Source organism: Homo sapiens, chromosome 6 (genome assembly GCF_000001405.40).
Source record: "Homo sapiens chromosome 6, GRCh38.p14 Primary Assembly".
Classification (NCBI taxonomy): domain Eukaryota; kingdom Metazoa; phylum Chordata; class Mammalia; order Primates; family Hominidae; genus Homo; species Homo sapiens.
In genome coordinates, this window is record NC_000006.12 from 35,861,230 (window position 1) to 35,875,367 (window position 14,138).

Here is a 14,138-nt window from a genome sequence, read left to right on the forward strand (position 1 = left end):
ACAGTAAGAGAGAAATCCCCAGCATCCCACATTCTGAAAATGGGTTTTATGATCTTGGTTATGGGAGAAACCCTGAACCAACTAGGGCCTCGGGCCTGACATGCAGAACTGCCTAAAGATTGGACAGATGTTGCTCCAAACAGGGAACCCACAGAGAATCCCACAGGCATCTGAGTCTAAGCGGCTTCAGCTGGGTGCCATTTTGACAGCCTTGATACCAGGGATCTGAAGATGCAGCTGCTGTCACTCCACTGCTCTGAGGAGGAAGAGGGGAGGCTAGGCACTCTCATGCACTCCTGGGAGGGTCCCTATCACCCTGCCATGGGCTGCCGGTGAGACCAAGATGTGAGTGGACCACATTCCCCACAGCTTCTTCCCCATGCTGCTGGCCTAAGAGGGACCCTCCCCGCTCTGGTCCCAGGCATAAAGTGCTATTTTGAGAGGTTAATGCTAGGTTGCGCCTTGCCCTTTCGGGCTGACGTGGCTGCAGCTGCCACTTGGCTGAGGAGGGACAGGAAAACCAGGCTCTCCTATGCATACCTAAGACAACAGGCTTTTTTGAGACTGAGACTTGAGTGTACTGTAACTCCCCACAGTTTCTTGCCCATGCTGTTCATTTGAGAGGGAACCTACCCTCTCAGTCACAGGCCAACAGCTGGCACCATTTTGAGAGTTTAAAGCTGGGCTATGCGCTTGCCCTTGGGCGACACGGCTGCAACTGCCACCCAGCTGGGAGAGGAACAGCAGAGACCAAGCTTCTCTAAGCACACTTAGGAAAATACCCACTGCCCTGCTATCGGTGGCTGTAAAACTAGGGACTAGCCCCCTCCGACCCATCACAGCTAACAACAACAACAACAACAACAACAACACAGACTGCTTGCTTGGGTCCCAGCGGGTTGCTCCACCACTCTAACTGCCATCCCCCACATTATACCAGCTGCCCAGGGGCCTGAGAACCTGCCCATATACCCAGTCAGAGACCCAAGAATCACACCTCCAGGACCCACTAACACTGGAATCAACGCTCTGGGGCCTAAAAACAGGAACACTCAGCCCACTAATGCCACCATCAGGGTCCAAAGACTGGCTCAGCTGGCATCCAAGTCCCCAGCAAAACCTCACCACAACCTAAACTGTACCCTAAGCCACAGAGGAAATTGCAGATACCCCTGACCCTGTGTACTGCCAAAAAAGTTATACAAAAACCATACTACCAGAGGTACCCAAAATCAAAATCAAAAAGTATCTTACTTAACCAACAACATATATACAACTTCAGAAAAATATTCTCCCCTACAAAAGCAATTTCAAAAAAATTGGAACAAGTGACTACTGCAACAAATGTGCAGATATCAACGGAAGGACACAGAAAACATAAATAAACAAGTAAATATGACAGCACCAAAGGACCACAACAATTGTCCAGCAACAGATCCCAATAAAAAAGAATTCCTTGAAATGCCAAATAAATCAAAATACTGATTTTAAAGAAGCTCAATAAGATGCAAGAGAAATCTGACAATCAATACTAGGAAATCAGAAAATCCATTCAAGAGATGAATGAGAAATTTACCAAGGTGACAGATATCTTAAAACAACAACAACAACAACAACAAACCCCAGAAATTCTAGAACTAAAAAATTCACTGAAGCAGGGCACAGTTGCTCACATCTGTAATCCTAGCACTTTTGGAGGCTAAGGTGCTTGAGCCCAGGAGTTTAAGACAAGCCTGGGCAACATAGTGAGACCTTGTCTCTACTAAAAAAAATTAGCTGGGTGTGTTGGCATGCACCTGGGGTCCCAGCTACTCAGGAGGCTGAGCCAGGAGGATCGCTTGAGCCCAGGAGATTGAAGCTGCAGTGAGTTGTGATCATACCACTGCATTCCAGCCTGGGTGACAGAGTGAGACAATGTTTCAAATAAATTAATAAATTAAATAAAAAATTTATTCTAGGAAATACAAAATACATTTGAAAGCCTCAATAATAGACTGGAACAAGTAGAAGAATCTGAGAACTTGAAGACAGGTCCTCTGAAATATTCTAGTCAGATAAATATAAGGAAATAAAAAAAATTAGCTGAGCCTGGTGGTGCGTGCCTGTAGTCTCAGTTACTCAGGAGGCTGGGGCAGGAGGACTGCTTGAGCCCAGGAGTTAAAGGTTGCAACAAGCCATGATGACACCACCTCATTTCTACCTGGGCAACAGAGACCCTGTTTCTTAAAAAAAAAAAAAAAATTAATTAATTAATTAAATGAATGAATAAATAATTTTTTTTTCAGTTTAGAAAACCTCTTTAAGAAAATAGTAGATAAAAATTTCCCAAGTCTAACAAGAGAGTTAAGGCATCCAGATACAGGAGGCCCACTGATCCCCAGGCAAATACATGGGGAGGGGGAGGTGGAGGGGGAGGGGAGACTTTCCCACACAAAACAAAAGCTGAGGGATTTCAAAAAAAAGCTGAGGGATTTTATCAACACCAGACCTATCCTTACAAGAAATCTTAAAGAAGAGAGAAAATCTTTCTTCAATCAGAAAGAAAAACTCATTAATGAGCAATAAGTAATCATGTGAAGGTACAAAACTCACCAGTAACAGTAAGTATACAGAAAAACACAGAATATTATAACACCGTTAATTGTAGTGTGTAAACTACTCTTACCCTAAGTAGAAAGATCAACCAATCAAAAATAACTACAACAACTTTTCAAGATATAGACAGTCAAAAATGCTGCTGGGAAAACTGGATACCCATATGCAGAAAAATGAAACTCAATCCCTATCTCTCGTAATACATAAAAATCAAATCAAAATAGATTAAAGACTGAAATCTAAGATCTCAAACTTTGAAACTACTACAAGAAAACATGTGGGAAAATCTCCAGGACACTGGTCTGGGCAAAAATTTTCTTGAGCAATACCTCACGAGCACAGGCAACCAAAACAAAAATGGACAAATGGGATCACATGAAGTTAAACAGCTTCTGCACAGCAAAGAAAACAATCAACAAAGTGAAGAGACAACCCACAGAATGGGAGAAAATATTTGCAAATTACCCATCTGATAGGGGATTAATAACCAGAATATATAAGGAGCTCAAGCAACTCTATAGGAAAAAAAAAAAATCTAATAATCTGATCAAAAAATGGGCCAAAGATTTGAATAGACATTTCTCAAAAGAAGACATACAAATGGCAAAGAGGCATATGAAAAGGTGCTCAACATCACTGACCATCAGAGAAAGGCAAATCAAAGCTACAAGAGCATCTCACCCCAGTTAAAATGGCTTACGTCCAAAAGATAGGCAGTAACAAATGCTGGCAAGGATGTGGAGAAAAGGGAACCCTCCTGCACTGATGATAGGAATATAAACTGGTTACAACCACCATGGAGAACAGTTTGGAGGTCCCTCAGAAAACTAGAGCTACCATATTATCCAGCAATCCCACTGCTGCGTATATAATCAAACGAAAGGAAATCTGTATATAAAAAAGATGTCTGCACTCCGATGTTTGTTGTAGCACTATTCACAATATTTAAGATTTGGAAGCAACCTAAGTGTCCATCAACAGATGAATTAAAAAAATGTGGTGCATATACACAATAAAGTGCTATTCAGCCATAAAAAAGAATGGGATCCTGTCATTTACAACATGGATGGAACTGGAGATCATTATGTTAGATGAGATAAGCCAGGCACAGAAAGACAAATTTCACATGTTCTCATTTATTTGTGGGAGCTAAAAATCAAAACAATAGAACTCAAGGACACAGAGAGTAGAAGGATGGTTACCAGAGGCTGGGAAGGGTAGCATGGGAGAAGTGGGGAGATAAGGATGATTAATGGGTATAAAAAAATTACTTACAAATAATAAGATCTACTCTTTCATAGCACAACAGGGTGACTATAGTGAATAATAATTATATATTTAAAAATAACTAGAAGAATATAATTGGATTGTCGTAACACAAAGGATAAATGCTTGAAGGGATGGATACCCTATTTTACTCCATGATGTGATTATTTCACATTGCATGCCTGTATCAAAACATCTCAGATACCCCACGAATACATACACCTACTATGTACCCATTAAAAATTAAAAATTAAAAAAAATTTTAAAACAATCACACTATCCAAAGCAATCTACAGGTTCAATGCAATTCTTTTCAAAATACTAATGTCATTTTTTCACAGAATTACAAAAAACAATTCTAAAATTCATATGGAATAAAAAAAGAACCTAAATAGCCAAAAGAATCCTAAGCAAAAAGAAAAAAGCTAGAGGCATTACACTGTCTGACCTAAAACTATACAAGGTTACAGCAACCAAAACAGCATGTATTAGTATTAAAATAGATACACAGATCAATGGAACAGAATAGAGAACCTAGAAATAAAGCCATATACTTAACAGCAAACTGATCTTTGAAAAGTCAACAAGCACATTCACTGGGAAAAAGACATCCTTTTCAATAAATGGTTCTAGGAAAACTGGACTGCCATATGCAGACGAATAAAAGATCCCTATCACTCACTGTATACAAAAATCAACCCAAGACCAATTAAAGACATGAATATAAGACCTGAAACTCATGACTAAGACCTCAGGCAACAAAAATAAAAATAGACAAATGGGACTTAAACAAAAAAGCTTCTGCACAGCAAAAGAAATAATCAAGAGTCAACAGGCAACCTACAAAATGGGAGAAAAAAATCTGCAAACTATATGACCCAACAGGGGACTAACATCTAGAATTTACAAGAAACTCAACTCAATTAAAAAAAAAACCAAATAATCCCATTAAAAGGTAGACTAAGGACACGAATAGGGATTTTTCAAAAGAAGACAAATGGCCAACAAATAAATGAAAAAATGTCCACTATCACTAACCAGCAGAGAAATACAAATTAAAACCACAATGAGGTATCTTTCACCAATCAGAGTGGCTATTACTAAAAATACAAAAAATAATAACATGTTGGAGAGGATGTGGAGAAAAGGGACTTCTTACACACTCTTGGTGGGAATGAAAATCAGCACCATCTCTATAGAAAATAGTATGAATGGCCGGGCGCGGTGGCTCATGCCTCTAATCCCAGCACTTTGGGAGGCCGAGGTAGGCAGATCACAAGGTCAGGAGATCGAGACCATCCTGGCCAACATGGTGAAACCCCGTCTCTACTAAAAATACAAAAAATTAGCCGGCTGTGGCGGCACGTGCCTGTAGTCCCAGCTACGCGGGAAGGGTGAGGCAGGAGAATTGCTTGAACCTGGGAGGCAGAGGCTGCAGTGAGCAGAGATCGCACCACTGCACTCCAGCCTGGGCAATAGAGCGAGACTCCATTTAAAAAAAAAGAAAAAGAAAGAAGGAAAATAGTATGAAAATTTCTCAAAGAACTAAAAATAAAACTACCACATGATCTAGCAGTACCACTGCTGGGTATCTGCACAAAGGAAAATAAATCATATCAAAAATATACCTATACTTGTATGTTTATCACAGCACTATTCATAATTACAACTACGGAATCAACCCAAGTGTCTAGGAGTAGATAAAGAAAATGTGGTATGGAATGAACACAATACTATTCAGCCATAAAAAAGAATGAAATCATGTGTTTTGCAGCAACATGGATGGAACTGGATGCCATTATCTTAATTGAAACAACTCAAAGAAAGGTAAATACCACATGTTCTCACTTATAAGTGGGAGCTGCATAATGTGTACACATGGAGGTATAGTGTGGAATGATCGACAATGAAGACTCAGAGGGTGGGGTGAAAGGGTGGATGAAGGGATGTTACTTGGTGGTTACAATGTGCACTGTTCCAGTGATGGATCCATTGAAGGCCCTGACTTCACCACAATGCAATATATCAACCTAGCAAAACTGCACTTATACCTCATGAACATATACAAATTAAAAAAAAAAGTATCACTCTGATAGATGTGTTGCCAATAGTCTACGGGGAGCAAGGGCAGCAGAAGGGAGAAAGTGAAGAAGCTATTGCAGTCACTACTGAAGTCATCCAGGGTGACCTGGACCAGATGATAGCGTAGTGGAGTAATTCTAATTACTTGGAAAGCTGCTCCACATTCTTATTAGTCAGTGCTAAGCTGGCTTTGTTTTTTCTAAAAGGTTATCACAATATTCTACAATCAATATGGGAAGTAAGATCCTTCTGAGGTCTGAACCATGTCCCATTTAAAAGCATATGGCTCTTTGAGTACTGTCATTTATGTGTGAATCATTCTATTATAAATTTTAAAAAGATGTCCATTAAAAATAACCTTGGTCAGGTATGGTGGCTCATGCCTGTAGTCCCAACACTTTGGGAGGCCGAGACGGGCAGATCACTTGAGGTCCGGAGTTTGAGGCTGGCCTGGCCAACATGGTGAAACCCCTCCTCTACTAAAAATACAAAAATTAGCCAGGGCATGCTGGCGCACGCCTGTAATCACAGCTACTTGGGAGGCTGAGGCAGGAGAATCACCTGAATCCGGGAGGCAGAGGTTCCAGTGAGCTGAGATTGAGTTACTGCACTCCAGCCTGGGTGACAGAGCAAGACTCCGTCTCAAACAAAAAAACCTTAAAACACTTTATTAGATACACAGTAAAAAACAACAGTATAAATAATTCGCCAATTAAAATGAGATTCCACTATTTAGCCTGAAGATCATACAAGAAAATACTTTTCTGAGTTGTTAAAGGTAGAATAACTGATGTATCTTTTCTTTTCTTTTTTTTTGAGATGGGAGTTTCACTCTTGCTGCCCAGGCTGGAGTGCAATGGCGTGATCTTGGCTCGCCGAAACCTCTGCCTGCCAGGTTCAAGTGATTCTCCTGCCTCAGCCTCCCAAGTAGCTGGTATTACAGGCATGCGCCAACACGCCTGGCTAATTTTTTTGTATTTTTAGTAGAGACGGGATTTCTCCATGTGGTCAGGCTGGTCTCGAACTCCTGACCTCAGGTGATCTCATGTGATCCGCCAGCCTCCGCCTCCCAAAGTGCTGGGATTACAGGCATGAGCCACCGTGCCTGGCTAACTGAAGTATCCTTTCTAGAGTGTAATATGACACTATACATCAAAAAACATATAATTATTTCTAATTACATGTCATTACGAATAACTAAAAATAAGTTAAATGACACTATACATCATAAAGCCCTTTTAAAAATCACAGAACTTCTGACTTAGCAATTCTATGTCTAGGACATGTCCTAAGAAAAACTATACAAAGATTTGCGTGCAGAGTCTCATCACAAAGAGCTGTCAAAAATATGTAGATTAAAGTGTACTAGGGAAACAATGTAATGAACTGAATTGTATTTAAATTTCTGGCTGACAAAGCAAAGTGTCCAAAATATGTTAAGTGAATTAAAAGGAGGTTACAATTTATAAGTTAGTCATCAATTTTGAAAATGGGAGTAGGGGAGTATGAACATAGGCACTGAGTGTCTGAAAGTTAATAATGATATATATATTAAAAACAAGATTGGCCAGGAGTTGACATTACTGAATCTGGGTGATGGGTATCTGGAGTGGGGTGGGGTAACAGAAGGACTTTTCATGATCACGATTACCATTCTACTTTCGTAAGTATATTTAAACTTTTCCATAGTAAAAGGTTTTTTTAAATGTAAAAAAATATTCACTGAAGTGTTGTATCAATCTGGGTACAGAATTATGGATGTTTTGCATAACTAAGTCCAAATTCTCATTCATCCTCCCAGTCACTTCAAAACACCATTAAGGCAAGTTTAACTTACCACCCAACAAGCATTTCCAAGGTCAGCAATCTTCACCTTGAGCTTTTCTGCATTTTTTGGCTCAAGGGGATTAACAAGAAAATTTCCAGCCGTGGATTTTCCTACAGACAACAGGCATCATCAATAAGACTGTTCAATGAACAGAGAAATACTCAATGAGTAATAAAGCTCTCCAAGGTAAGAGTAATACAGTCAGCAATACCCAAGTGACAACTTACATTTTCTGAGACAAAAAGAGCACAGCAACGCCTTGAGTTTCCAGAATTAAAAACCTCTGCCCTCACAGCAACAAATGAAGTGCTGTGTACTCAGTACATGATGGATAAAGTTAGCTACAGATTACAATTTAAACGTAACTTAGACACACCTGTTGTAAAGCTATAGTTACAAAAACAATCATACTTTTAGTCTAGAAATCTGTGAATGTGTTGTGCAGGGAAGGAGTGTTGAGGAAGTATAGCTGCATAGGTACCTTTGTTGTCCAGTGGTCCGTTATGTTCTTGCTCTTGTTCATCTTCACAGGGTATCTCTGCCCGAATGCTTTCTTGAAGTTGGCTAATGTGTTGTTCACTGAATGACTGACCTACAGTTGAGGAAGACTGGCACACCATGGTGTCTGACACCTCAGATGTTATAGGTGTACAAGAGTCTGTTTCTTGAGATGTGCTGCTGTCTCCATTTTGGGAGCTTAGGAAACTAGATTCCTGATTCAAATTTTGGACATCACAGTCATTAGCATTATGTAGATCCTCTTTATGTCTCAATGTTTCATTATTACTGTTCTGAGTATAATTAATGACTTCAATCACTCCATTGCAATTAATTTCTGCTGCACCACCCTCTGTATCACGTTCCATAAGCGTTTGATCCTGGCCAATGGTACTTGACTCTTCTAAGGAACAAACGAACAAAAAAAGATATATGCATATGTGTGTGAGTGAAAGAACAGAAACATTTCTCACAAGATTAAAACATTTTCTAGAACTTATACTGAGTGACATAAAAACATGACTAAACATCTAAAACCTATTTCCGGAAGGGCCAAGATCTTACTTTTACCCAATTGTTAAATGAAATCTATGTTCCATTTCCTGAGAAAAGTTACAAATTACATTTAAATATTACCTGCCTAACATTTATGACAAGATCCATATTCTTATAAAGATACCCCCAGAGATGTGTTGTATGTATGAAACCACTGTATTATATAGCAATGATAAATTAACGTTAAAGTGTGTTGTACAGTAATTTTCGTGATGTTCTATTTATACCAAGTTTTTCTTGGGTCATTTTATTAGGTGGGTTCTCTTTCAAGGGTCTTTCAACAGGACTCTCTGATTCTTCTTGCTTGTTTGGTCTTTTTTGCCCAGGGCCCGACTCTTTCTCCATTTCCTCAATTTCCTGCATTCGCTTCTCTAGTAATTCTGCCTGGCGCTTCTGCTTCTTCTTCAATTTCTTCTTCTTATTCTTTGACATTTTGTCAGCCTGGGCGGAGATTACAAACAGATAAAGCCTTCAGGTGGCTAATTAATTACCCCCAGTTGGAGATAGTTGTTAACTTTAATTACTTCCTAATTAAATTTCACAAATCTTTCCCTAACATAGCACTTAAGTCTTTCATTAAATTAAAAGATGCGGGATACTCTTATAAACCCAAATAAAAACAGAATAAATAACAAAGTGTGGTCTTCTGAGCAGTCCGTGGGGTTGGTTTACATTCAGACAAACTCGAATTTTTTAGAGGCCTCACCAGTACAAATGTGATGAAGGTGCATGGGAATTTACTGGAGAAAATTATAGAAGCGCAGGAATTTTTTTTCCTTTTGGTTCTCAAACTTGAAACAAACTGTTACCATCCACAACAGAAGAACCCATGCCCATAGTCCATAGATCAAAATTAAATATAAAAACACCTTATACTTACTGGTTTAGGCTGGGGAGCAGTACTGACTGAAAAGAAAAGAAAACCAAGTAAGAATTCTGGCATTCATCAGGCAATATAAACTAAGGCTCAGATAAAACACTCTACCAGAATGAAAAGTCTTTCTTATGTAGTCTACATTGCAGAGAAAACTATTGTTTTTAAATGACTTAAGTAGAAGCTATATTATTACCATTTTTAAAGAAAATAATGAATAGAAATTGCCAAACTTAAAAAAAAGGGATAAATAAAATTCTTCCTCCCCAGGTAAACTAAAGTTGCTAAAAATCACCTATTTTCCATTCCCATGCACTGCTTAAAATAGAATGGGACAAGCAACAACCTCTTCACCTCAAATGCTACCCAGAATCTGTCAGTTTTAAAAGGGGAGTCTAGGTGACATCAAGAGCTATAGTAATTTGCTCTACAGCATGTCATGGATAACAGTGTAGCTTAGCTGGAAGGTAGGATCTTCAGTCTTCCTCTTTTTAAAATATTAGTATAATAACTGTGGTTAACAAAAAACACATAATAAAAATTTATACTCTAGATAAGTGTACATTCAGTGGTTTTAACACTATTCACACTGTTGTATAACAGGATCTGTAGAATGTTTTCATCTTGTAAAACAGAAACTACATCCATTTAACAACCAACTCCCCATTTCCCCCTTCTTTAGTCTTCCTTTTTAAAGAAGTGTATAACTAATAACTCAACTTGAGGATCAAGCAAGTTCCTAAAAAATGACACACTACTAAAACTAAAATCTGTATCTCAAAAGAAAAAAAATCATAAAGCAGCCTTTATTTATTTATTTAATTTTATGTCTTAGACAGGGTCTCACTTTGTTGCCTATGCTCGAGTGCAGTGGTACTATCACAACTCGTGGCAGCCTTGACTTCCTAGGCTCAAGCAATCATCCTGCCCCAGCCTCCTGAGTAAATGGACTACAGGCACGCATCACTATGCCTGGCTAATTTTTTTAATTTTTGTAGAGACAGGGTCTTACTGTGTTGCCTAGGCTGGTCTCAAACTTCTGGGCCCAAATCATCCACCCACCTCAACCTCCCAAAGTGTTGCGTTACAGGCATGAGCCACTGTGCCTGGTCCCGCAATTTATTTGGTATATAATATTGTGTGGCACACTACTAACTGCTTTACCATTTAATCCCAATAATTCGCAGTTGAGGGAAAATAAAGTAAAATAACTCAGCTAAGGTTTCTCAGTCTAGGATGAAGCCCAAATTCAAACCAAGTCTGTCTACTCCAGTGTTTAAACCTAAACTATTAATAGCAATGTTATCTTGTCCCTCTACAGACTACCAGTCCTATAAATGAGCATGTGTGATCACAGTTAGAGGTAAACACTTCAAAAATCATCAACTCATAAGAAAAAATATTTTTAAACAATACACACCAGCTTTTATAACATACAACACAAAGACACAATATCTAGTTTTCTCCTTCCCCTATGGAAGTAACAGTGAGAATGTCTCTTGGAAGCTGATAATGTTTCTTAAATATGTTATTGTTGAAATGGATTGAGTGGTGTTTAATTCCCTGGTAACAGAATAAAAATAGAAATTTCTTTTTAACTTCTAATGATAGCGAAGTCCCTAAAAGAAAATACACCTGCAGATCCGGAAGGCGGAGGAGCTCCAGATCGCTGCCATTCTGTTGCTTCTGCAGCCAGCCTCCGAATGTACTGCTCATTCACTGACAATAAGATGTTCTCTGGTTTAATGTCAGTGTGGATGATACGGCACTTGGTATGTAAATAATCAAGACCCTGTAACACCTGAATGGAAATAGAGTGGCAGACTTGCAAACACAAAATACAGGCTTTCTGGAGAAGTAAGAGATTATAACATGACATTAAAAAAAAAAAAAAGATATGATAGCGTTTTCTATAGAGAATAAAAGCACCTTTTAAAAAAGCACAAATAAACTTTCTCAGAAAGATTAAACTATGAAAAAGGCAAGAAATTATTTACAATAAAAAATTCTTCAATGTTTTACAAAGCTGATTCTATTTGGAGATATTCTTCAACTATGTACAATGCAAAGACTGAGAATAAACTTCAACACACACACACCCTCTAAGTGTTGTAATGTAGGTGCTGACAGACATTTAGATATCTTTAATTCAAATTTCCTCACTGAGGAAGAATTGAGGTCTCTTGCTGCCCAGTTTGGAGCTCTTTCCAGGACATATAATCCAAACAAATTTTTGCACCTTGAAGTATTAATATTTTCCTGATGGTAAAATCTATACTGTATATTGAAGGCTCTTTAGAAAATTAGAAAATGCCTATGAATCATGCTGTATAAAGAGATGGCAATAATCTGACATAGCAATTATCTATTCATGTAAAATTACTATTTGCAACCAGAACTTCTGGATAAGGGCTCCAATGTTCCCAAGTCAGGAACCTCAGCTTCCCTTTCTAATTATTATAGGAGGCAAACCTGGGGGAAAATGGTTATGCTAAAACATTTAAAAAGAGAATAAGCACAATAAATTCTAAAGGTTGAATGAAATATTTAATTTTAGCAATTAACTTTTTTTTTTTTTTTGAGATGGAGTCTTGCTCTGTCGCCCAGGCTGGAGCGCGGTGGCGCGATCTCAGCTCACTGCAACCTCCGCCTCCCGGGTTCAAGCGATTCTCCTGCCTCAGCCTGCCGAGTAGCTGGGATTATAGGCGCTTACCACCACACCCGGCTAATTTTTGTATTTTTAGTAGAGACGGGGTTTCGCACTGTTGGCCAGGCTGGTCTCGAGCTCCTGACCTCAGGTGATCTGCCCGCCTCGGCCTCCCAAAGTGCTGGGATTACAGGCGTGAGCCACCGCGCCCAGCCAATAACTTACTTTTTAAAACAAAGAATTTTAAAACAAAAATTCTTTTTTTTTTTTGAGACGGAGTCTCGCTCTGTCGCCCAGGCTGGAGTGCAGTGGTGTGATCTCGGCTCACCGCAAGCTCCGCCTCCTGGGTTCACGCCATTCTCCTGCCTCAGCCTCCCGAGTAGCTTGGGACTACAGGTGCCTGCCAAGACACCCGGCTAACTTTTTGTATTTTGAGTAGAGAGGAGGTTTCACCATGTTAGCCAGGATGGTCTTGATCTCCTGACCTCGTGATCTGCCCGCCTCGGCCTCCCAAAGTGCTGGGATTACAGGAATGAGCCACCACACCCGGCCTTAAAACAAAAATTCTATTGGAAAAAATAAAGTCCTGACACTTCAAGAATATTAAAAAATCACTACATAGTCAAGACTAAGATACTTGCTGATTCAAGATACATACTTGCTGAATAATTTTTTTGACACAAGGCAGTGGAAGCCCCTGATAATTGGATTTGATGATCCACTTGAGCAGATGATGCCCCAAAACTTCAAATACCATGCAGATATCTAGGAATTCATTAAGGAGGGAAAAAACGGCACAAAAGAAGAACACGGCAAGACAAGCTGTGAATTCCACCCTATTAAATGTTATGTATTATTTTCTTTCAGTATAAAAAGTTACAGAGCTTGAATGAATAAATATGTAGCTGTTAATATTCTAAAATTTCAAAGTCTAATGCTATAGTCAATGAAAGCATTCATGAAACATTAAATTGTGGGCGGCTGGCTTCATCAATATTATTATGTACATTAAAATACTCAATGGTAAAAGAAAAAGTGAAACCTACATATGCAAATAGTGAAAGAAAGCAGTAGGCTCAAGCCTCAAGCTGTTGATTAGCTTCAGGTAAATTAGTTTCTTCCCTAATATCAAAATTGGTGTCCAGGGTAAAAATTCCCACTCTCACAGCTTCAAAGCAAGGAAAAACAAATTATTCCTTAACTATAGAAGAGATGAATGTACAAGAAAGACTTAAACCTCAAAAACGTAAATGCCAACATTTTTTTTTAAATAGGAAACTTGCTTAATGCTCTGTATTTTACAAAACTAATCTTGATTCCAGTGCCACCATGTGTTGTCCTTATGTATGAACAACCTGATGACACCACACAGCAGGAATACTCTGAGTCTAAAATTGTGCAGGGCACTACAGAGATTTTAGTAGTATCTTGATGTCTTCCACCCCCACTGGCTTCTACATGCAAGTTAAGACATACATATATAGTAATGGTCTAGTGCTCAGACTTTAACATTCTCCATTAAAGGAAAGCCTGAGCTCCTTGGAAAAATGGCCAAATCCAAGGTAGGAAAAATAACAGGGTAAACTTGGAACACCTTGCTGTTCTAACAAATAAAAGAACCTGTCAGGAAGAAACAGGAACCATCTTGAAAAGGATGTCACCAGCCAACATGGAGACTTCTTTTTTTTTTTTTTTTTTGAGACAGAGTCTTGGCTCTGTTGCCCAGGCTGGAGTGCAGTGGCACTATCTCAGCTCACTGCAACCTCTGCCTCTCGGCACTACAGGTGTGTACC

At 39.0% G+C, this 14,138-nt stretch overlaps 1 protein-coding gene across 2 annotated transcripts in view; it reads right to left on the reverse strand.

Moving 5' to 3' along the window:
- SRPK1 (SRSF protein kinase 1) overlaps positions 1-14,138 on the reverse strand; it is an 88,133-nt gene that overhangs the window by 28,264 nt on the left and 45,731 nt on the right. For both annotated transcript variants that reach the window (NR_034069.2, NM_003137.5), the window contains exons 7-12: positions 13,004-13,110; positions 11,334-11,499; positions 9,705-9,730; positions 9,052-9,265; positions 8,253-8,672; positions 7,781-7,881 (exon numbers count right to left, since the gene is read on the reverse strand). Coding sequence is in view for 1 of the 2 variants with exons in the window: in NM_003137.5 (NP_003128.3) it covers positions 7,781-7,881; positions 8,253-8,672; positions 9,052-9,265; positions 9,705-9,730; positions 11,334-11,499; positions 13,004-13,110 (1,034 nt within the window). In the remaining variant the exon portion in view is untranslated. The remainder of the gene's footprint in view (positions 1-7,780; positions 7,882-8,252; positions 8,673-9,051; positions 9,266-9,704; positions 9,731-11,333; positions 11,500-13,003; positions 13,111-14,138) is intronic.